The sequence below is a fragment of the Homo sapiens genome, chromosome 17 (genome assembly GCF_000001405.40).
Source record: "Homo sapiens chromosome 17, GRCh38.p14 Primary Assembly".
In the NCBI taxonomy this organism is placed as follows: domain Eukaryota; kingdom Metazoa; phylum Chordata; class Mammalia; order Primates; family Hominidae; genus Homo; species Homo sapiens.
In genome coordinates, this window is record NC_000017.11 from 22517803 (window position 1) to 22543089 (window position 25287).

The 25287-nt window shown below is 38.4% G+C and overlaps 12 pseudogenes, besides 1 other annotated feature; 10 read left to right on the forward strand and 2 right to left on the reverse strand.

Moving 5' to 3' along the window:
• MTND6P35 (MT-ND6 pseudogene 35) lies at nt 1393-1702 on the reverse strand (annotated as a pseudogene).
• On the forward strand, nt 1815-2907 carry MTCYBP13 (MT-CYB pseudogene 13; annotated as a pseudogene).
• Nucleotides 5613-6861, forward strand: MTRNR2L1 (MT-RNR2 like 1 (pseudogene); annotated as a pseudogene).
• MTND1P15 (MT-ND1 pseudogene 15) lies at nt 6934-7894 on the forward strand (annotated as a pseudogene).
• On the forward strand, nt 8097-9122 carry MTND2P13 (MT-ND2 pseudogene 13; annotated as a pseudogene).
• Nucleotides 9181-9475: a silencer, noted in NCBI's record as "tiled region #3895; HepG2 Repressive DNase matched - State 24:Quies". NCBI's record gives its function as "represses a minimal TATA promoter and a strong SV40 promoter by Sharpr-MPRA in HepG2 cells {active_cell/tissue: HepG2}" and the evidence as "EXISTENCE:reporter gene assay evidence [ECO:0000049][PMID:27701403]".
• Nucleotides 9510-11050, forward strand: MTCO1P13 (MT-CO1 pseudogene 13; annotated as a pseudogene).
• NMTRS-TGA3-1 (nuclear-encoded mitochondrial tRNA-Ser (TGA) 3-1) lies at nt 11051-11119 on the reverse strand (annotated as a pseudogene).
• MTCO2P13 (MT-CO2 pseudogene 13) lies at nt 11191-11870 on the forward strand (annotated as a pseudogene).
• Nucleotides 12132-12807, forward strand: MTATP6P3 (MT-ATP6 pseudogene 3; annotated as a pseudogene).
• On the forward strand, nt 12810-13590 carry MTCO3P13 (MT-CO3 pseudogene 13; annotated as a pseudogene).
• MTND4LP8 (MT-ND4L pseudogene 8) lies at nt 14074-14370 on the forward strand (annotated as a pseudogene).
• MTND6P34 (MT-ND6 pseudogene 34) lies at nt 14706-14971 on the forward strand (annotated as a pseudogene).

Consider the following 25287-nt stretch of genomic DNA (forward strand, 5'->3'; position numbering starts at 1 on the left):
GCCTGCGCGTCCCAGCGCACAGGGAGGTCGCTGAGTCCCAGGGAAGCCCCCTGGGCTCGCGCTGCAAACTCAGGCAGCCTCTGCTCCTGCCCTACGGCTTTGAGGGCACGTGCTCCTCCGGGGAGGCACAGCTTCCTCTAATTTCCCACTTCCTCATCCGGCCCTTAATTCACTAAAGACTAACAGGGAATGATGTTCATTACCAAAGTAGGTGCTCCCCCTAGTGTAGCACAGAACGCGGCGCTGTTCTCACTATTGAATTGGAATAATATTTTTAGTATCAAAATTAATTCTAGAAATCTATTACAGTTCATTTTCCAGAAAACAAGGGTAGCAAAAATAGTATAGGTTTGTTTCTTAATTTCTTTATGACACACATCACTGGTTCATGTGATAACGTGTGGATTCTCACCTGGAAGACACAAGAGGAATAAAATCACCATATTTTAAACTCTATCTCAAGTCTCTCAACATTTCAGGCTGTGCTCATTTACACACTACAGAATGATGAGTATTCAGTGGAAACTTTTGCAGAACAATTAAAATTGCAAAATCGGAGCCGGGCGCGGTGGCTCACGCCTGTATTCCCAGCAGCACTTTGGGAGGCCGAGGTGGGAGTATCGCTTGAGCCCGGGAATTCAAGACCAGCCTGGGCAATATAGTGAGCCATCATCTCTAAAAAAAAAAAAAAGAAAAAGAAAAAATTGCAAAATTACCTAAAATGAAATGCATACATTGAAACGCCCACAATTATTATGAAAATTAAAGTTAATATTAACAACATATGACATGAGCCACAAGATTTACATTAAAATAGTCTAGTTGACAATAACTTGAATATTTAAATAAAGTCCTCTTTATCTCTAAATAATATATTTACAGTCTGCCATTATATGAATCACTTAAAATTCAGATGAGGATATTAATCAATATTGACAATTTCTTCAGGAATATCAAGTGAATAATAATGATTTCACTTTTTTGTTTCATTTTGTTTTTGACATAAGATCTTGTTCTGCTGCCCAGGCTGGAGTACAGCAGCAGGATCGTGACTCACTACAGCCTCTGCCTTCTGGGCTAAAGCAGTCCTCCTACTTCAGCCTCCTGTGTAACTGGGACCACAGATGCACACCACCAGGCCCAGGTAATTTTTTATTTTTTGGTAGAGACAGAGTCTTATTATGTTTCCCAAGCTAGTCTTGAACTTCTGGGCTCAAGCAAGCCTCTCACTTCAGCCACCCAAAATGCTGGGATGACAGGCATGAGTCACCATGCCCAGCATAAAGATTTTATTATGTGGAAATAAAAGGACATTAAAATATAACTTGAAATAACCCATTTCTCGCAAGTATTTATTTTTCCACCAGTTAATCAAATAGTGCCAACACTAGACACCAACCCCACTTCCATTGCTAATCCCACTAATACACTCACCAAGACTTCAATTCCTGACCCCCATGTCTCAGGATACTCCTCAATAGCCATTGCCATAGTATATCCAAAAACAACCATCGTACCCCCTAGATAAATTAAAAAAAACCATTAAACCCATATAACCTCCCCCATAATTCAGAATAATAACACACCCAACTACACCACTAATAATCAATACTATACCCCCATAAATAGGAGAAGGTTTAGAAGAAAACCCTACAAACCCTATTACTAAAGCCACACTTAATGATAATAAAGCATATGTGATTAATCCCACATGGATTACAACCACGACCAATGATATGAGAAACCATCATTTTATTTCGACTATAAGAACACCAATGACCCCAACACGTAAAACTAATCCACTAGTAAAAATAATCAACCACTCACTTATCGATCTCCCCGCCCCATCCAACATCTCCATATGATGGAACTTCAGCTTGCTTCTTGGTGCCTGCTTAACCCTTCAAATTATTACAGGACTATTCCTAGCTATACGCTACTCACCAGACGCCTCAACCGCCTTCTCCTCAGTCGTCCACATCACTCGAGATGTAAACTATGGCTGAATCATCCGCTACCTCCATGCCAATGGCGCCTCAATATTTTTCATCTGCCTCTTCCTACATATTGGCCGAGGCCTGTACTATGGCTTATTTCTCTACCTAGAAACCTGAAACATTGGCATCATTCTCCTACTCACAACCATAGCAACAGCCTTCATAGGCTAGGTACTCCCATGAGGCCAGATATCCTTGAGGGGCCACGGTAATCACAAATCTACTGTCCGCCATTCCTTATGTCGGAACAGACCTGGTGCAGTGGGTTTGAGGTGGTTATTCAGTAGACACACCCACTCTCACACGATTCTTCACCTTCCACTTTATCCTACCTTTCATTATTACAGCCCTAGTAGTCTTACACCTACTATTTCTCCATGAGACAGCATCAAATAACCCCTCAGGAATCTCCTCCCACTCCAACAAAATTACCTTCCACCCCTACTACATGACCAAAGATATCCTAGGCCTATTTCTCCTCCTTCTCACCCTAATAACACTAGTACTGTTTTCACCCGACCTCCTAACTGATCCAGATAACTACACCCTAGCCAACCGCCTGAATACTCCACCCCATATTAAACCCGAATGGTATTTTCTATCTGCCTACGCAATCTTATGATCCATCCCCAACAAACTAGGAGGCGTACTGGCCCTCCTACTATCAATCCTCATCCTAGCAGCAATTCCCACACTTCACATGTCCAAACAACAAAGCATAATATTCTGTCCACTAAACCAATTCCTATATTGACTCCTAATTACAGATCTCCTTATCCTCACATGGGTTGGAGGACAACCAGCAAGCTACCCCTTCATCACCTTCGGACAAACAGCATTCGTAGTTTACTTTGCTACAATTCTAGCCCTGATACCGCTTGCCTCCCTACTCGAAAACAAAATACTCAAATGGACCTGCCCTTGTAGTATAAACCAATATATTGGTCTTGTAAACCAGAAATGGAGACTCTCTCCCAAGGACAACTCAGAGAAAAAGTACTTGACTTCACCATCAGCACCCAAAGCTAAGATTCTAATTTAAACTACTCTCTGTATTCTCATGAGGGAGCCATTTTGGGTACAACCCAAGTATCGACCCACCCCACCATAATTTTATATATATCGTGAATTTCTGCTAGCCACCATGAATATTATATAGTACTATAATTGCTTAACTGTACATAGTACATATCAAACGAAACTCAACAACAACTCCTCCCCACGACGCTTACAAGCAAGGACTAGAATACCTTAACTAACGGTAACACATTAAACCCACCCTCCAAAAGAAACTTCTCAACCACAAGCGTACCAAAAAACACTATATATCCTTGAGTACATAGTACATCTAATCGCTCATGGTAGATAGCACATTCCAGTTAAACAAGTCCTCGTCAATACGGATATCCCCCTCAGATAGTGGTCCGTTGTTCACCATCCTCTGTGAAATCAATATCCTGCAGAAGAGTGCTACTCTTCTTGATCCAGGTCCATAATACTTGGGGGTAGCTATAATGAACTGTATCCGGCATCTTGTTCTTACCTCACAGCCATAAAGTCAAGACCAACCACACGTTCCCCTTAAATAAGACATCACGATGGATCACGGGTCTATTACCCTATTAATCAGTCACGGGAGCTCTCCATGCATTTGGTATTTTAATCTGGGGGGTGTGCACGCGATAGCATTGTGAAACGCTGGCCCCAGAGCACCCTATGTCGCAGTGTCTGTCTTTGATTCCTGCCCCATCCCATTATTGATCACACCTACATTCAATATCCCAGGCGAGCATACCTATCACAAGGTGTTAATTAATTAATGCTTGTAGGACATAACAATCAGTAAACACACCCACGGCCGCTTTTCACATCAACTCTACAATAAAATTCTGCAAATCCCCTTCCCCCATCTTTGGCCTCACCAACCCAGGAAAAGACATCTTTGCCAAACCCCAAAAACAAAAAGCCTTAATCCAACTCAACCAGAGCCCAAATTTTTATCTTTAGGCTGTACGCATTTTTAACAGTCACCCCTCAACTAACACGTCTTTTTCCCTCTTAGCCTCACTTCACAGACTCTACAAATTTAGTTATCCCTTTTTCAGCCATCCCATTCAACGCATGCCCGACCACTACTAAACCAACACCCTAAACTAACCCAACCCCAAAGGCAAGGCTTTCCCCCCTACCCATTGCTTGTATGCCCATCCCCTAGCCTTGCTTACACTGTGCAATCACAGTCTATGTAGCTTAATGACCCAAAGCAAGACACTGAAAATATCTAGATGGGCCTACACTGCCCCATAGACAAATAGGTTTGGTCCTAGCCTTTCTATTAACTCTTAGTAAGATTACACAAGCAAGCATCGCCACCCTGGTGAAATAACCCTCTAAATCACTACAATCAAAAGGAGTAAGTATCAAGCACGCATTAGTGCAGCTCAAAACACTTTGCCTAGCCACACCCCCACGGGAGACAGCAGTGATAAACCTTTAGCAATAAACGAAAGTTTAACTGAGCTATACTAACTTTAGGGTTGGTTAATTTCATGCCAGCCACCACGGTCATACGATGAACCCAAGCTAATAGAGACTGGCGTAAAGAATGTTTTACATTATCCCTCAATAAAGCTAAATTTCACCTAAGTTGTAGAAAACCCTAGTTGATATAAAACAAACTACGAAAGTGGCTTTAATATTTCTGAATACACAATAGCGAAGATTCAAACTGGGATTAGATACCCCACTATGCTCAGCCCTAAACTTCAACAGTTAAATCAACAAAACTGCTCGCCAGAACACTAGGAGCAACAGCTTAAAACTCAAAGGACCTGGCGGTGCTTCACATCCCTCTAGAGGAGCCTGTTCTATAATCGATAAACCCCAATTCACCTCACCACCTCTTGCTCAACCCATATACCGCCATCTTCAGCAAACCCTGACAAAGGCCACAAAGTAAGCACAAGTATCTACATAAAAATGTTAGGTCAAGGTGTAGCCTATGAGGTGGCAAGAAATGGGCTACATTTTCTACCCCAGAAAATTCTACAATAACCCTTATGAAACCTGAGGGTCCAAGGAGGATTTAGTAGTAAATTAAGAACAGAGTGCTTAATTGAATAGGGCCATAAAGCACGCACACACCACCCATCACCCTCCTCAAGTATATTTCAAGGACTATCTAACTAAAACCCCTATGCATTTATATAGAGGAGATAAGTTGGATAAACCAAGGTGTAGCTTAACATAAAGCACCCTGCTTACACCTGGGAGATTTCAATTTAATTTGACCACCCTGAGCTAATTCTAGCCCCAAACCCAACTAATTCTACTACCAAATAACCTCAACTAAAACATTTACCCAAATAAAGTATAGGCGATAGAAATGATATCTCGGCACAATAGACATAATACCGCGATGGAAAGATGAAAAAACATAACCAAGCATAAAGTAGCAAGGACAAACCCCTATACCTTCTGCATAATGAATTAACTAGAAATAACTTTACAAAGAGAACCAAAGCCAAGACCCCCGAAACCAGACGAGCTACCTAAGAACAGCTGAAAGAGCACACCCATCTATGTAGCAAAATAGTGGGAAGATTCATAGGTAGAGGTGACAAGCCTACCGAGCCTGGTGATAGCTGGTTGTCCAAGATAGAATCTTAGTTCAACTTTAAATTTATCTACAGAACCAGCTAATGCCTTTGTAAATTTAACTGTTAGTCTAAAGAGGGACAGCTCTTTAGACACTAGGAAAAAACCTTGTAGAGAGAGTAAAAAATATAACTTCCAAAGTTGGCCTAGAAGAAGCGATCAATTAAGAAGGCGTTCAAGCTCAACACCCAACCACCCAAAAAATTCCAAACACATAACTGAACTCCTCACATCACATTGGACCAATCTATCATTTCATAGAAGAAATAATGTTAGTATAAGTGACATGCAAACATTCTCCTCCGCATAAGCCTACATCAGACCAAAATACTTCACTGACAATTAACAGCCCAATATCTATAAATAATCAATGAAACCATTATTACCCACACTGTTAACCCAACACAGGCATGCTTACAAGGAAAGGTTAAAAAAAGTAAAAGGAACTCAGCGAATCTTACCCCTCCTGTTTATCAAAAACATCACCTCTAGCATTACCAGTACTAGAGGCACCACCTGCCCAGTGACATATGTTTAATGGCTGCGGTACCCTAACCGTGTAAAGGTAGCATAATCACTTGTTCCTTAAATAGGGACTTGTCTGAATGGCTCCACGAGGGTTCAGCTGTCTCTTACTTTCAACCAGTGAAATTGACCTGCCCGTGAAGAGGCGGACATAATACAACAAGACGAGAAGACCCTAAGGAGCTTTAATTTATGAATGCAAACAAGACCAAATAGGCCCGCAGGCCCTAAACTACCAGACCTGCGTTAAACATTTCGGTTGGGGCGACCTCGGAGTATAACCTAACCTCCGAGCAACATATGCTGAGACTATACCAGTCAAGGCGAATATCCACATACAATTGACCCAATAATTTGACCAACGGAACAAGTTACCCTAGTGATAACAGTACAATCCTATTCTAGGGTCCACATCGACAGTAGCATTAACGACCTCGATGTTGGATCAGGACATCCCAATGGTGCAGCCGCTATTAAAGGTTCGTTTGTTCAACGATTAGAGTCCTATGTGATCTGAGTTCAGACCGGAGTAATCCAGGTTGGTTTCTATCTATTCTACATTTCTTCCAGTACGAAAGGATAAGAGAAATGGGGCCCACTTCATAAAGTGCCCCTGCCCCATAGATGATATTATCTCAGCATTTTACTGTACCCACACCCACCCAAGAACAGGGTTTGTTAAGATGGCAGACCCCAGCAATTGCATAAAATTTAAAACTTTACAACCAGAGGTTCAACCCCTCTTCTTAACAACATGTCCATAACTAACCTTCTACTTCTTATTGTACCTATCCTAATCGCCATGGCATTCTTCATGCTAACTGAATGAAAAATCCTAGGCTACATGCAACTACGCAAAGGGCCCAATATTGTAGGCCCCTATGGACTATTACAACCTTTTGCCGATGCCATAAAACTCTTTACCAAAGAATCCTTAAAACCCTCAACGTCAACTGTTACCCTCTACATCACTGCCCCAACCTTAGCCCTCTCTATTGCCCTTCTACTATGAACTCCCCTCCCTATACCTAACCCCCTAGTTAATCTTAACTTAGGCCTTCTATTCATTCTGGCTACATCCAGCCTAGCTGTCTACTCTATCCTATGATCAGGATGAGCATCAAACTCAAACTATGCCCTGATCGGCGCATTATGAGCAGTTGCCCAAACAATTTCATACGAAGTTACCCTAGCTATCATCCTATTATCGATCCTACTAATAAGTGGCCAATTCAATCTCTGCACCCTCATTAGAACACAAGAACACCTCTGACTACTCCTAACATCATGACCCCTAGCTATAATATGATTTATTTCCACACTAGCAGAAACCAATCGAGCTGCTTTTGACCTTACTGAAGGAGAATCAGAACTAGTCTCAGGCTTCAACATTGAATATGCTGCAGGCCCATTCGCCCTATTCTTTATAGCCGAATACATAAATATCATTAAAATAAATGCCCTAACTGCCATAATCTTCCTAGGTACAATATATAATATTCACCTACCAGAACTCTACACAATATGCTTCACCATTAAAACCCTATTCCTAACCTCTCTATTTTTATGAATCCGAACAGCATACCCCCGATTCCACTACGATCAACTCATGTATCTCTTATGAAAAAATTTCTTACCATTTACACTAGCACTACTTATATGATACATCTCAATATCCGCTACAATTTCCAACATTCCCCCCTAAACTTAAGAAATATGTCTGACAAAAGAGTGACTTTGATAGAGTAAATAATAGAGGTTTGAATCCTCTTATTTCTAGGACCATAGGAATTGAACCTATCCCTGAGAATCCAAAATTCTCCGTGCCACGTGTCACACCCTATCCTGGAGTAAGGTCAGCTAAATAAGCTATCAGGCCCATACCCAGAAAATGTTGGTTATATCCTTCCCGTACTAATCAATCCACTGGCCCAACCTGTCATCTACTCCACCGTTTTCACAGGTACACTCATTGCAACATTAAGCTTGCACTGATTTTTTACCTGGACAGGATTGAAAATAAACATACTAGCTTTTATCCCAATTTTAATTAAAAAAATAAACCCCCGCTCTACAGAAACTGCTATCAAATACTTTCTCACATAAGCAACCACATCTATAATCCTCATAATAGCTATCCTCTCCAACAATGTACTCTCCGGACAATGAACCACAACCAACACCACCAACAAATACTCATCATTAATAATCACAACAGCCCTAGTAATAAAACTAGGAATAGCCCCTTTCCGTTTCTGAGTCCCAGAAGTCACTCAAGGAACCCCTCTAATATCCAGCCTACTTCCCCTCACATGACAAAAATTAGCCCCTATTTCAATTATATATCAAATCTCCCCATTAATAAACATTCTCCTTACCCTTTCAATCTTATCCATTATAGTGGGTAGCTGGGGTGGACTGAACCAAACCCAACTATGTAAAATCCTAGCATACTCCTCAATCACCCATATAGGCTGAATAATAGCAGTACTAGCATACAACCCAAGTATCACCATTTTCAACCTAATCATCTATATCATTCTAACAACCACCACATTCCTGGTACTCAACTTGAACTCTAGCACTACAACCCTACTACTGTGCCGCACTTGAAATAAACTAACCTGACTAATACCCCTAATCCCATCTACCCTACTATCACTAGGAGGCCTTCCCCCACTAACTGGCTTTCTACCCAAATGATTTATCATTGAAGAATTCACAAAAAATAACAACCTCATTATCCCCACTACCATAGCCATTATTACTCTCTTTAACCTATATTTTTACATACGCTTAATCTACTCTGCTTCAATTACACTATTCCCCATATCCAACAACGTAAAAATAAAATGACAATTTGAAAATACAAAATCCACACCACTCTTCCCCACACTCACTGTCCTTACCACCCTCCTCCTACCAATCTCTCCACTTACACTACCCACCTCATATAAATTTATGTTAAACGCAGACTAAGAGCCTTCAAAGCCCTTAGTAAGTTAATAATACTTAATTTCTGCAGCACCCAAGGACTGCAAAACCCTACTTTGCATCTACTGAACGCAAATCAGCCACTTTAATTAAGCTAAGCCCTTGCTAGATCAATGGGACTTAAACCCACAAAAATTTGGTTAACAGCTAAATACCTTAATCAACTGGCTTCAATCTACTTCTCCCGCCGCAAGGGAAAAAAGGCGGGAGAAGCCCAGGCAGGATTGAAGCTGCTTCTTTGAATTTGCAATTCAACATGAAAGGCACCTCAGGGCTGGTAAAAAGAGAGTTTTTAGATTTACAGTCTAATGCTTTGCTCAGCCATCTTACCCACTAATGTTCGCCAACCGCTGACTATTCTCAACAAATCATAAAGATATCGGAACACTATATTTATTGTTTGGTGCATGAGCTGGAGTCTTGGGCACAGCCTTAAGCCTCCTTATTCAGACTGAACTAGGTCAACCTGGCAACCTTCTAGGTAACGACCACATCTACAACGTCATCGTCACAGCCCACACATTCTTCATAATCTTTTTCATAGTAATGTCTATCATAATTGGAGGTTTTGGCAATTGACTGGTCCCCCTGATAATTGGCGCCCCTGACATGGCATTTCCCTGCGTAAATAACATAAGCTTCTGGCTCCTTCCCCACCCCTTTCTACTACTGCTGGCATCTGCTATGATAGAAGCTGGTGCCGGAACAGGTTGAACGGTTTACCCTCCTTTGGCAGGAAACTATTCCCATCCAGAGGCCTCTGTAGACCTAACCATTTTCTCCCTTCATCTAGCAGGTGTCTCCTCTATTCTAGGAGCTATTAATTTCATCACCACAATTATTAACATAAAACCCCCTGCCATATATCAATACCAAACGCCCCTCTTTGTCTGATCTGTCCTAATCACGGCAGTCCTACTCCTCCTCTCCCTTCCAGTCTTGGCCGCTGGCATTACTATACTGCTAACAGACCGTAACCTTAATATTACCTTTTTGACCTGGCCGGAGGAGGGGACCCTATCCTATAACAACACCTATTTTGATTCTTTGGTCACCCTGAAGTCTATATTCTCATCCTACCAGGCTTTGGAATAATTTCTCACATCGTACCATATTATTCCGGAAAGAAAGAACCATTCGGGTACATAGGTATGGTCTGGGCTATAATATCAATTGGCTTCCTAGGGTTTATTGTATGAGCCCATCATATATTCACAGTAGGGATAGATGTAGACACACGAGTTTACTTTACCTCTGTCACTATAATTATTGCCATCCCCACTGGCGTCAAAGTATTTAGCTGACTTGCTACGCTCCATGGGGGTAACACCAAATGGTCCACTGCAGTACTCTGAGCCCTAGGATTCATCTTCCTTTTTACAGTGGGTGGCCTAACGGACATTGTACTAGCAAACTCATCATTAGACATCGTACTACATGATACATATTATGTTGTGGCCCACTTTCACTACGTTCTATCAATAGGAGCTGTGTTCACCATCATGGGGGGCTTCATCCACTGATTTCCCTTATTCTCAGGCTACACACTCGGCCAAGCTTATGCCAAAATTCACTTTGCCATCATATTTGTAGGCGTAAATCTAACCTTCTTCCCGCAGCACTTTCTCGGCCTATCTGAGATGTCCCGATGTTATTCCGACTACCCCGATGCATATACCACAGGAAATATTTTATCATCTGTAGGCTCATTCATCTCCCTAAAAGCAGTAGTGCTAATAATTTTCATAACCTGAGAGACCTTCGCTTCAAAGCGAAAAGTCCTAATAAATGAGCAACCTTCCACTAACCTAGAGTGGCTGTAGGGATGCCCTCCACCCTACCATACATTTAAAGAACCAGTCTACATAAAACCTAGACAAAAAAGGAAGGAATTGAACCTCCTAAGGCTGGTTTCAAGCCAGCCTCATAACCCCTATGACTTTTTCAACAAGATATTAGGAAAACTATTTCATAACTTCGTCAAAGTTAAGTTACAGGTTAAACCCCGTATATCTTAATGGCACACGCAGCCCAGCTAGGTCTTCAAGACGCCACATCCCCTATCATAGAAGAGCTAATCGCCTTCCATGATCACGCCCTCATAATCATCTTTCTTATCAGCTTTCTAGTTTTATACGCCCTCTTCCTAACAATTACAACAAAACTAACACTAACATCACAGACGCCCAAGAAATAGAAACTGTTTGAATGATTCTACCTGCCATTATCCTAGTCCTAATTGCCCTTCCATCCCTACGTATCCTGTACGTAACAGATGAAATCAATGACCCTTCTTTTACCATTAAATCAATCGGACACCAATGATACTGAACCTATGAATACACCAATTATGGAGGATTAATTTTCAACTCTTATATACTTCCACCACTATTCTTAGACCCAAGTGACCTTCGACTTCTTAAAGTTGATAATCGAGTAGTCCTTCCAATTGAAGCCCCTGTTCATATAATAATTACATCACAAGACGTCCTACACTCATGAACTGTCCCCACATTAGGCTTAAAAACAGATGTAATCCCCGGACGCCTAAACCAAACCACATTCACCGCCATACGACCAGGAGTATACTACGGTCAATGCTCAGAAATCTGCGGAGCTGACCATAGCTTCATAACCATCATTCTAGAACTAATCCCGCTAAAAATCTTTGCAATAGGACCTGTATCCACTTTATAGGCTACCGCCCACTCTCTTAATAAGGTTCACTGTAGAGCTGACCCAGCATTAACCTTTTAAGTTAAAGACTAAGAGAATCGCTATCTCTTTACAGTGACATGCCTCAACTAGACACCACCATATGACCCACTATCGTCGCATCAATACTCCTCACATTATTACTCATCATTCAACTAAAAGTACTAAACACAAACTACCATCTGCCTACCTCACTAAAAATTATTAACATGCAAAACCACAATAATCCTTTAGAGTCAAAATGAACGAAAATCTGTTTACTTCATTCATTGCCCCCACAATTCTAGGCCTTCCAGCTGCAGTGCCAATCGTTCTATTTCTCCCCATGCTGATTCCAGCTTCCAAACACCTTATCAACAACCGATTAATTACCACTCAACAGTGACTAATTCAACTCACCCTAAAACAAATAATAACAATAAATAACATTAAAGGACGAACCTGATCCCTCATGCTAATATCCCTAATTATCTTCATTGCTACAACCAATCTCCTCGGGCTCTTGCCCCACTCATTCACACCAACTACCCAACTGTCATAAACCTGGCCATGGCAATCCCCCTATGAGCAGGTGCAGTAATTACAGGCTTCCGCTTTAAAACCAAAAATACCTTAGCCCATCTCTTGCCACAAGGCACACCCTCACCCCTCATTCCCATACTAATTATTATCCAAACCATCAGCCTATTTATCCAACCAATAGCCCTAGCCATGCCCCTAACTGCTAATATTATGGCAGGCCATCTGCTCATACACTTAATCAGAAGTGCCACACTAGCGCTATCAACTATCAACCTCCCCACAACCTCAATCATCTTCACAATTTTGATTTTACTGACGATTCTCGAAATCGCTGTCGCCCTGATTCTAGCCTATGTTTTCACACTCCTAGTGAGCCTCTACCTACATGACAATACATAATGGCTCACCAATCACATGCCTATCACATAGTAAAACCCAGCCCATGACCTCTAACAGGGGCCCTTTCAGCCCTCCTAATGACATCCGGCCTAGCTATATGATTCCACTTTTACTCTACCACCCTACTAACACTAGGCCTACTGACCAATGCACTAACCATATACCAGTGATGATGTGATGTTGTACGAGAAGGTACATACCAAGACCACCACACAGTACCCGTCCAAAAAGTCCTTCGGTATGGAATAATTTTATTCATCATCTCAGAAGTCTTTTTCTTCGCTGGATTCTTCTGAGCATTCTACCACTCCAGCCTAGCCCCCACCCCTCAACTAGGAGGACACTGACCCCCAACAGGCATCACTCCACTCAACCCCCTAGAAGTCCCACTCCTAAACACATCTGTACTACTCGCATCGGGAGTTTCAATTACTTGAGCTCACCATAGCCTAATAGAGAACAATTGTAATCAAGCAATTCAAGCACTACTTATCACAATCTTACTAGGCATCTACTTCACCCTCCTACAAGTTTCAGAATACTTTGAAGCCCCCTTTACTATCGCCGATGGTATGTATGGTTCAACATGTTTTGTAGCTACGGGCTTCCACGGGCTCCCCGTCATCATTGGTTCAACATTCCTTACTGTTTGCCTTATCCGCCAACTATTATATCATTTTACATCCAAGTACCACTTCGGCTTCGAAGCCGCTGCTTGATACTGACACTTTGTAGATGTAGTTTGACTATTCCTATATGTCTCTATCTACTGGTGAGGATCTTACTCTTTTAGTATAGACAGTACCACTGACTTCCAATTAACTAGTTTCGATAACACTCGAAAAAGAGTAATAAACCTGGCACTAGCCCTAACAGTCAACACCCTCCTGGCCCCATTACTAATAACCATCACATTTTGATTACCACAACTTAATATCTACATAGGAAAGTCTAACCCTTATGAATGGGGTTTGACCCACTATCCTCTGCTCGCATTCCCTTCTCCATAAAATTCTTCTTGATTGCTATCACCTTTTTATTATCTGACCTAGAAATTGCCCTATTACTACCCCTACCGTGAGCCCTCCAAACAACCAATCTACCACTAACAGTTGTATCATCACTCACATTAGTTACTATCTTAATCCTAAGTTTGACTTATGAACTATCCCAGAAAAGGTTAGACTGAGTCAAATTGGTAAGTAGTTTAACAGACAAAAACAATGATTTTGACTTGTTAGATTATGATAGTCATACTTACAAAATGCCCCTCATCTACATAAACATTACATTAGCATTTACTACCTCACTGTTAGGAATACTAATCTATCGCTCACACCTAACGTCCTCCCTACTATGCCTAGAGGGGATAATATTATCTCCATTCATCGTAAACACCCTCATAACCCTAAACACACACTCTCCCTTAATTAACATCATACCTATCACCATATTAGTCTTTGCTGCCTGTGAAGCAGCAGTGGGCCTCACCCTACTAGTCTCAATTTCTAACAGATACGGTCTAGATTATGTACATAACTTAAACTTACTCCAATGTTAAAATTAATTATCCCTACAATCATACTACTTCCAACAACATGACTCTCTAAAAACCATATAATTTGAATTAACATAACCACTCACAGCCTAATTAACAGCTCTATCCCACTGTTATTTTTCAACCAAGCCAACGACAATCTATTTAGCTACTCTCTTTCTCCTCTGACCCCCTGATGACACCCCTTCTAATACTAACAGCCTGACTTCTACCTCTTATGATCATAGCGAGTCAATGCCACTTATCTAACAAGTGCCCCTTACGGAAAAAAACTTTACCTGTCTGTACTAATCACCCTTCAAATCTCCCTGATCATAACATTCATGGCCACAGAACTAATCATATTGATTATTAGTGGTGTAGTTGGGTGTGTTATTATTCTGAATTATGGGGGAGGTTATATGGGTTTAATAGTTTTTTAAATTTATCTAGGAGTATGATGGTTGTTTTTGGATATACTACAGCAATGGCTATTGAGGAGTATCCTGAGACACGGGGGTCAGGAATTGAAGTCTTGGTGAGTGTATTAGCGGGATTATCAATGGAAGTGGGGTTGGTCTTATGAGTGAAGGAGTATGATGGGGTGGTGGTAGTGGTCACATTCTTTGCTGAACAAACGGTACCTCAAATAACTTCATACAAATACTACTGGGAAACTTAGCATTTTATTAAAATGTTTAAATTTCCTATTTTATCAAATCTAACATATTAGTAATAATATATTCCTTTTATTCAACTTTAAAGTTCTATTCAACAATAGCAATTTATAATTTTATATTATTAAATGTTATTCATACAGTTTAATAATTTTATAATTTAGCATTAATGAAACCAGCACAGACAATATAATGTTCATGATATTTTATGTATATGTTTAACATACACATACATAATTCAACATTAATGGCTTCCTTAATTACCATTAATATTATAATTTTATATTATCATTTAAGTTTGCCCTTCTATTTTAATATTAGATGTCTTAGCATCCATCAGTTCTATCAAGCTCTTCTCACTGGTTCTTCTTTGAATTCCAGACATGGCCACAATCTTCTCTTCTAAAATTCTAAAATCTGAGGGCTCTCGCTGGCTGGGTGCTGCTGGAAGAACTGTAACTTGGTTGTTATCTCAACGGTATTTTATTTTAAATGTTTCAATTAAAAGAAGTTTTTAAAAATGTGGAAATCCCTGAGAATATTCACTTTTTTAAATACAATGGGAATGTATTTAATGTATGGCTGAAGTCTGTTTCTCCTCGTTTGATCCAGGGGTGCTTCTGAGAACTCTTCCAAGTGCCAGATCCTGGGCCGCTGGCAGCTTGGCCCCAGTGGCAGTTCAGTTACCCCATCACGGCTGGGGCACCAGGGGAGCCCCACAGGTGGGCGAAAATTACCGTAGATTAAAACCTAGGCAGTTTAACACAAGCAGCCAGCACCAACATCACGGTACTTGATCTTCCAACTTCCTGCACTACCAATTCTATGTCTCATCACATTCTCCTCTGGCCTCTCGGCCCCCAGCACACAGGCTTCAGCCTCTGTTTCTGCTGAAGCCCTTTCTTCATACACTCTAGAACATAGAACATAGGACAGAGAGAGAGACTTTAGTAGGAATACTGACATTTAAAAACTTATCAGAGATATGAAAAATCAACTACATGAAGTACGGCGGTATATTAAGGCTTTGTGAATAAAAACACAGTAAAGGGTGGGTGTGTAAAGCTATTTTCCAACCATCCTTCCAAACCAAGGCTTTTGAGGGCACAAGTCCTCCCAGCAGGTGGCAGGATGGGCCCAGCAGTGTCTTCAGCCCATTGCTGTCATGAGTTAGGAAAGGCTGAATTCTATTTTACATACAAAAGAAAACATTTATTTAATTAAAGATTCAAGCTACAATACAGTTCTTCATAAAACACTACAATATTTTGATTATCAATGTTTTTCTGTTGCTTTTTCTCATGAAACATGATTTGCCTTTGTGAAATCTGAAGTTTCCTATTCTATCAATGAGAAGGTGTATCAAATGGATAGTCCATCCAGTGTATCCGACATCAATTACAAAATGCCTCCCTTTTTCTTAATTTTGCCTTTTTTCCCTTTGTCATTCTTGAGTCTCTGTTAGTGCACTGAGGAAGTGAAGACATGTACTTAAAGAAATGCCAACATCTGCTGAAGATCAGATTCCGTATTTTGTATTTTAGTTGATGTAATGATGACTTTAGTTATAATGACTTTAGTTGATGTAATGATTCTAATGAACAAGAAAGATTTTGTTTCCCATTTTAAAAGATATCATTAAGTCATGCAGAATATTTTTCAATTTATTATGGGTGTGTATGCAAGGGGTTGCCATTTCACCTGCTTCAGTCTTCCCTCTAAACCAATCCTAAGACACACCTAGGCTGAATTCATATCACATGAAAATTCATCACATGATGTCCTACTAGGTCAAAAAGTATAAAAACTGACATTACGGAGAAAGACTTCATTGAAACCAGGACAGAAAGACACTAAGGCACACAGTGCTCAGAGCGGCATGCTGACAAGATCTCTGGTGGGAGGCCATTGCCTGGACACCTGCTGGGTTTTGTCCTGGACACCATTCATTCACTTGAGCATGTTTGGTACCCAGGGTATTTTTCAATAATAGGCAAAATAGAATGAGTTCTTCAAACCTTGTGGATTTTATACTGAAAACTTCCAGAGATATATCTTAGGTAATTATAAGACCAAGCACAACAACAACAACAAAATCCTAACTTGAATCCATCAGTTGCAGATTTCATGGTTGACTACATCAAGAGGAAGTTGCAAGCTCTAAAAGCTGGAAGACCAGTCAATATCAGGAACTCCTCAGAAGTGAAGGAAAAGTGGTTTAAATTTGTTTAACAAAACCATGTTTTCAAACTTACTTTAATTTATGCATGAGGGCCATTAAATTTGTTCTTTTTAAAAAGGAAACTTCTTAATTGGAACTAAATCATTCATTATTCACTGTGATACGGGTTATATACCCTTAGGTTCCATGTGATTATTCACATGTTCAGCTGACAGAAAGGAGAAAAAGCTACTCTAATGACTTAGCTTCGCTTTGACTCACTGGTTTTTATCTCATTTTAACTTCCAATCTCGGTTACAGAGAGTGTTAAAGCTGGAAGAAATAACATTTTGGTAGATGGTAAAGGATAAGTACGAGTCATTTCAAGTTGTTGAAGCTTTCATTAAACAAAGCAAGCTATTTGAAATCTTAAAGCTATTTAAATAAAGGGCTAAGACTTTTCCGTTTTATTTACTTAAAAGCTTAAAAGATACTGTTGAAAATTTAACAGTTAATCTATTGTAGGGTGTGGTTAGACACTTATTTTGACAGTGCTCACTGAAAATTCAATTATACCCCCGGAGTCAAACTTGCCAGTCATCAAAATGTCTAACGATCTGAGTGTTCACGGGGTAATAACAAACCCCATACTAAACAGTTTGCTAGAAATCTGTCCTATAACATCTAAACGGAACAATTGGGTGGTTGTCTAAGACACCTAAGCTCAATATGACATTTCAGCTAAAAAGAGTGAACTTATAACTAAGCACTTCATGCAAGTTACCAAAAGAGAAGATATTCTTTAATAAAAAAGTACATTTGTAGAATCAAAGAATCTCAGTGTTGTAAGAAATATTTGAGATCATTTCAGTTAGGCTTTTCATTTCTTAAATTTGAAACTGAAGCTGAGATTAAACAGCTAATAAAAAGACAAAGCCGATCCATGATATTGGTTTGGGCAATGATTTCTTAGATATGACCAAAACGCACATACAACAAATGAGATTACATCAAACTAAAGAGCTTCTATACAGCAAAGAAAACAATTAACAGAGTGAAGAGTGACAACTCACAGACTGAGAAAAAATATTTGCAAATCATATGTTTGATAAAGAGCTAATACACAAAACATACAACGAATTCAACTCAATAACAATAAAACAACCTTGTTAAAAAATGGGCAAAAGACCTGGACAGATATTTCTCCAAAGAAGACATACAAATGGCCAGAAGAGATATTAAAAGGTGTTCAATATCACCATTGATTAGGGAAATGCAAATTAAAATGAGATTTCACCTTACTCATTTTAGAATGGCTATTACAAAAAAAATGAAAGACAAGTGTTGGTGAGGATTTGAAGAAAAGAGAACACTTGTAAAATGTTGGTGGGAATGTAAATTAGTGCTGCCACTATGGAAAACAGAAGGGACGTTTCTCAAAAATAAAAATACATAATTACTATATGACCCAGAAATTCTACTTCTGGGTGTATATTCAAACGAGTTAAAATCAGTATGTTGACTAGATATCAACACTTCCATGTTCATTGCAGCATTATTCACAATAGCCAAGATATGGAAGCAATCTAAGCGCATATCAAGGGATGAATGGATAAAGAAAATTATATACACATATTTATAGTGTATACACACAATGGAATACTATTCAGCCTTTAAAAAGGATACAATTCTGTCATTTGTGAAAACAAAGAAAAATCTAGAGGATCTTACATAAAGTGAAATCAGTCAGGTACAGAAAGACAAATACATCATGATCTCACTTACATGTGAAAAGTAAAAAATGTCAGACTCATAGAAGTAAAGAGTAGAATGATGGTTACCAGAGGCTGGAGGAGGCAGGATAGACAGAAAAAAGAAGATTAATTTGTTAAATGGTACAAGGTTCAGCTAGATAGAAGAAATAAGTCCTAGTGATCTATTGAGCAATAGGGTAATTATAGTTAATAATAATGTATTATATATTTCAAAATTGTGGAGTATATTTTAAGCACTCTCACCATAAAGTAGTGATAAATACGTGAGTTGAAAGATATGTTAATTCACCTGATGTAAATGTTCCACAATGTATACATGTATCTAATCATCATATTGTATGCCATAAATACATACAATACTTAATTATCAAATAAAAAGTTAAGATGGAGCTGAGCCAAGAATCCAAGTCTCTGAATTTAGATTTTTCATTTTCTATTATGCCAAAGTGTTTTCTGAAAATTAAAATTGAATATGGCATGTCCAAAAGAATATGTCATAAGAAGACAGGAATGGGGGGACTGCTGCATATAATCTCATATTTTTAGTCAGTTTTGTAACATATTATTAGGAGAAGAAAATCAAATATTTTAAGAAAATTTTTATAACTCCTGTAATACTGTAATTTTATGGCAAACCTAAAACCTTCAAAACACAGAGTTTTTTTAAAAAAGTGAATCATATATATGCAAAGTTTTTATTGAGATTATTAAAGCAAAATCCCTCAAAGTAGCAAAACATAAGTATATGTTTTAGACTGTACTATGCAGAATAGCAGAATGGTACCAATGGCAAAAAATCTTTCAAAAGACATAAAAATTATTGAGGTCTCATCCCAGCTCTACTAATCTATGTCTTAGCAACCTAGTGTAATTCCTACAAGTTCTGAACACTGCCTTTAATGTATCTGCATGGTTCCCATATCATTTTATAAACTTCAAATATTCACACTTTATAATTGAAACAATATACAAACTTTATTATTAAATAAGCTATGGGATGATATTCTCCATCTACCCTATAAGGATACTATCTTCCTGTCAGAAAATCTGAGACTCTCCAATACATATTTACTCCCCAGATCTTTTCTTTTTCTTTTTTTTTTTTTTTTTTGAGACGGAGTCTCTCTCTGTCGCCCAGGCTGGAGTGCAGTGGCACAATCTTGGCTCACTGCAAGCACTCCCCATATCTTAACTGTGGAATCTCCAGACCATGTCCAGTCAGTAATCCATTATTAGTTTTGTCTCATGTGCCCTAACCACCTTCTCTTTACCTTCTATTTCAGCCCCAAATAAAAGTTACTATTCTTGGCTCAATTCTCCAAATCCTTTGAAGGTAACTGGTGACACTATAGCTTTTCTTTATGTGCCACCTTGTGATCCAGGCTTCCTAGTTATCTGTGAATATTCACATCAGGTTACCTGGACTCCATAGAGGCAGCACCAACAAAAAACATAATTGGGATATACACCACTTTTAGACTTTCGATTACATGCCCCACCTTATAATGTGTGAACTGATTTCACTTCTAGACATTCAACTTTCAAACAGGTATGCTCTGTATTAAACACCAACATCCTCCTTCCCTTTCACTCAAGGGACATCGGGAAAACAAAAAGATGCAATGCAAAGTTCACATATAAGGATAATTATTTGTGATAATGGTGACAATGATCCCTATTTCTTTTCCTGCTCTTATGAATTTGCAAATGTCCTACAAACTGTATTAAATGAGTCTGTGAAAGTTCATCTAAGTCCCTAGTATTATTATTTTTTAACTCTCTAGAAAGTCCTAGCCACGTAGCTCAAAGCAAAATAGAAAAGATCCAAATCATTCATAGGACAAGTGTTGAGGCAACTTTCAATTACTAAATATATTTTTAGCCATTTAAAACTAAAAGAAAAGTAACGTCTGTAATCCCAGCACTTTGGGATGCTGAGGCAGGCGGAACACAAGGTCAGGCGATCGAGACCATCCTGGCTAACACGGTGAAACCCCGTCTCTACTAAAAATACAAAAAATTAGCCAGGCCTGGTGGCCGGCGCCTGTAGTCCCAGCTACCCAGGAGGCTGAGGCAGGAGAATGGCTTGAACCCGAGAGGCGGAGCTTGCAGTGAGCCGAGATCACGTCACTGCACTCTAGCCTGGGCAGCAGAGCGAAACTCCGTCTCAAAAAAAAAAAAAAAAAAAAGTAAGAAAACTCTTTTACTCCTTTTTATGATTTAAATTTTATTTTAGGTTTGAAAAGTGAGCTATATATCACTTAACAGTCAGGAAGCGTGCAGTAAACTCAATCTCTGAACCGACGTTACCTAAATCAAAGATGTTCGTTTTCTCATACTCATCTCTAAAACAGAGGTAGACAGAGAAAGTGCTTCTTTTTCCGAGATTGTAATGAATTCAAACCTATTCATTAACTTTATAGCAGTTATTTTGGTTTCACAGTGAAACATAAAAAGTTCTATTTTATTGGAAAGAAAACCAAGTAGCTATCTAAGTAGTTCATGAGAAGGAATTTGTTCTACTGTTTTAAGTGCATGAGGGATAAAGCAAGACTTAGAAATATTTTTGTTAGACCATTTCATTTTAATAGTATTTTCTATTATAACAGAAATGACCTACAGTAAAATAATTCAAAATACCCTTACTTCTGAAGGTTATTTCCACATAAAATTGTAACATTACTATGATCTAAATTTAAATAAATTTTCTATTGATGTTAAAAGTTTGATAATATACAGTTTGTTAAAGTGGTTTGGTCACTATTTGGGCACGATCGACTTCAAACCATAGGTGTTTAAATGAACCAAAGTCTTTTGTTTATTTCTATAGCTTTTTGCCTAGTTTGATTAATAACTAGTATACCAGTCATTCACATATAGTCATAACTGGCCAACCAAGGTTTACTTGGTAGGAGGGTGACAGTTTACCCTTTAATACCACCTGATTAAAATACACAAGATGTTCTACACAAATAACAACAAATTGTTTATTTCTAAGAACATAATTTTCCTTTTATAGGAAGCTCTCAACTTTAATTTGGAGTCACATTTTAATTTTATAATGTAATAATTCAATAAATGGTCATTAGATATTGGGTTATTTGGAAAACTGCAAAAAATCAAACTTCTGACAATGTCCTTTAAAATAATTAACTCAGCTGGAAATAGTTAAACAAGACTTAAAAATACAAATCATAATGGCCAGGCATGGTGGCTCACGCCTGTAATCCCAGCACTTTGGGAGGCTGAGGCGGGCGGATCACGAGGTCAGGAGATCGAGACCACGGTGAAACCCCGTCTCTATTAAAAATACAAAAAAACTTAGCTGGGAGCAGTAGCGGGTGCCTGTAGTCCCAGCTACTTGGGAGGCTGAGGACAGAGAATGGCTTGAATCCGGGAGGCGGAACTTACAGTGAGCCGAGATCGCGCCACTGCACTCCAGCCTGGGGCAACAGAGCAAGACTCCATCTCAAAAAAAAAAAAAAAAAAAAGAAAATACAAATCATAACGTGAATATTCAAATGATTGTACAGTGTAACAATTGTATGCAAATAATTAAGAATAGTGACTATAATAAAAAAGTTTAATAGATTTGACATCAACATTTAAAGAATATAACTTACATATACGAAAATAAGCCATCAAAACTTGAAGCTGTCAAATTGTGAAAAACAGTAGTAAACAATAAAAATCACTGACTCATTGGAAACACTGCAAAATGTCATGAAAACATTTCAGAAATGAAGGTACGTTAATGAAAAATAATCATAGTTTTAAATTCAGTCTCACCTCACCTTTAAGAAACAGTGTAAAACAGCAATAAATGGGATAATTTATATTACTGCAATAAAATGCAAATATATATATATTGTGTACTAGCACCCTCTCTTCAATGTATACTTTAACCCAATAGCTTTCTACCACTGGAAATTTATCATAAGAAAATAATGGTGGCTTACACCTATAATACCAGCACTCTGGTAGGCTGAGGCAGTAACGTCAGTTGAGCCTAGGAGTTCCAGATCAGCCTGGGCAAAATAGTGGGATTCTGTCTCTACCAAAAAAAAAAAAAAATGCCAGTCATAGTGGCTGGCACCTGAATCCTTGCTGCTTGGGAGACTCATATGGACCTAGGCTGATTTGAGCAGGGGTATCATTTGAGCACAGGAGGTCAAGTCTGCAGTGAGCTATGATCATTCCATCGCTGCAGCCTGGGTGACAGAGCAAGACCCTGTCACACACGCAAAAGAAAATAATTCAGAATGCGCCCAAAAATATATAAATATATTTCTGAAAGCTGCATTTGTAATACTGCAAAATCAATGCCACATTGAGACAGGGGTACCAAGATTAAGGTAGAGTCACCAATGACAATTAAAATCTGGAGTCAGAATGCTGTATCTAAGTAGGACAACAATTTCTCTGCTGCAGCCTACCATTACCATGCAGCAAAGTTGCTCTATTACTTCTGAATTTTCCACATTCTTAAAGAAAAGCAGAAAATCCAGTTTCTAAGACAAAAATCAAGTTATAAGTATTGACAGAAAAATCACTTTTAAATAATTGTAAAAGTAACAACACACTATAACAGTAAATCTAATTCAGCCTGATACCAGGCTGTACCAATAGATATAATGAAACTGCATAATATTGGTAAAACAATTGTATGGTAGAAAAATACTGGCATAAAAATGTTCATAGCAAATTCATAAATGGAAAAAGTAGTCTGTTTTATTTAAATAAAAAGGAGCTAAATGAATGGCAGACAACTACAAATTAATAGTTTATACCTTTCAAGTTTAGAATTAAGGATATATTTTTCTTTATTTTTTGTTTTCATTATTGTGATGTATTATGCTGAAATTAGCAAAAAAAAAAAAAAAAAAAAAAAAAAGAGAGTATCTGACCAATACAGAAATTTGTATTGAGAAGTAAGGTGTGTCCCTAACAAACCCACCTATGAGTCAGTTTGAAGGTAGCAAGAAAATTTTTATCACTGTCATATACTTCAGAAGTATTTGTGTACCTAATGATTTCCAGTGTCATCAAACATAGGTAAGAACACTGAGTATTAGCACTGGTTGATATTTGGTCTCTACAATAGTGAGTATGGTGGTTAATTTTAGATGTCAACTTGAATGGACTAAGGGTTGCCTAGAGAGCTAGTAAAACCTATTAAAGTATTATTTAATATAGTATTGTAGAATATACGTTAAATACATTATGTTACATGTATTCTAATGCAACACATTATAATATATTAAAGACATTATTCCATTAATACAGTACTTAGTATAGTATTACTTAATACATTAAAATGGTAACTAAGCTTGACGAATCCCTGAGCAAAGCCAGTTAGACCTCATAAGCAGCCTCTCAACCTTGCTTGTTTTGCAAACATTAACAAAACTTCAGGTATTTTTTGTAAATGCCTATATGAAAGAAAAACAGAACTTTCTTTTTCTTTCCAAATAGGAGTGTTTACTATAGTTTTCCTGTTCCTGTATCACATTACACACTGAATGTGTGGGAGAGCAGAGAGATTTAATTTACAAGTTTTAGATCAAGAGAGCATAACCAGATCCCAGGTTAAGACTTAACACTACAGAATACTCATGTTAGTAATACTCGTCCTATAAAAAGATACACTTTTCACTGTAATTGCTGCAAACAATAAAATACTGTAAAATAATATGCAGTGTGTTTGTGAAAGGTCAATAACATGTTTATATTTTTGCTGTTGAAAAACTACACAAAAACAAATGACTACAACAGCAGATCAATTAGTATCAGTAGAATTATACCATCAAAAATTCCACTGAGCTTGAATGTAAGATCTGACATAACCAGATAATTCCATGGCAGGGGAATAAACTGCATTTACATTCTCTTTCTAACAATTAGTGCAAGCATATCCAGATAAACTATATTGATTCTACATTATCTTAGAGTGAAATCACCTAATAACTTCTTCAGTAGTCTTTCTTTTAATTTTTATCCTAATTATCCGTCTGAAAATGATCTTTTAAATTGGGAAAACTCTGATTACATTACATCCTTCAGTTCAGAGTAGCATTGGGTAAAGACATTTTGGCTGCAGACAAATCACTCTTTCATAGTCATCAGCTTTCAGAACATTCTAAGACTTTATTTTCCATCTAAACTTTTCAGTTAATTTGACTCTAACTTTTAATTGATGTTACTGAGCAGCAAAGGAGCCTGAAGGACACTGCTTTGTTTGGAAAAATGAAGAAAGAAAGGAATGTAAATCCTGTAAATGTAATTCTAACGAAATCAAGATAAAATATAGTGTTTATAAAAGGAAATA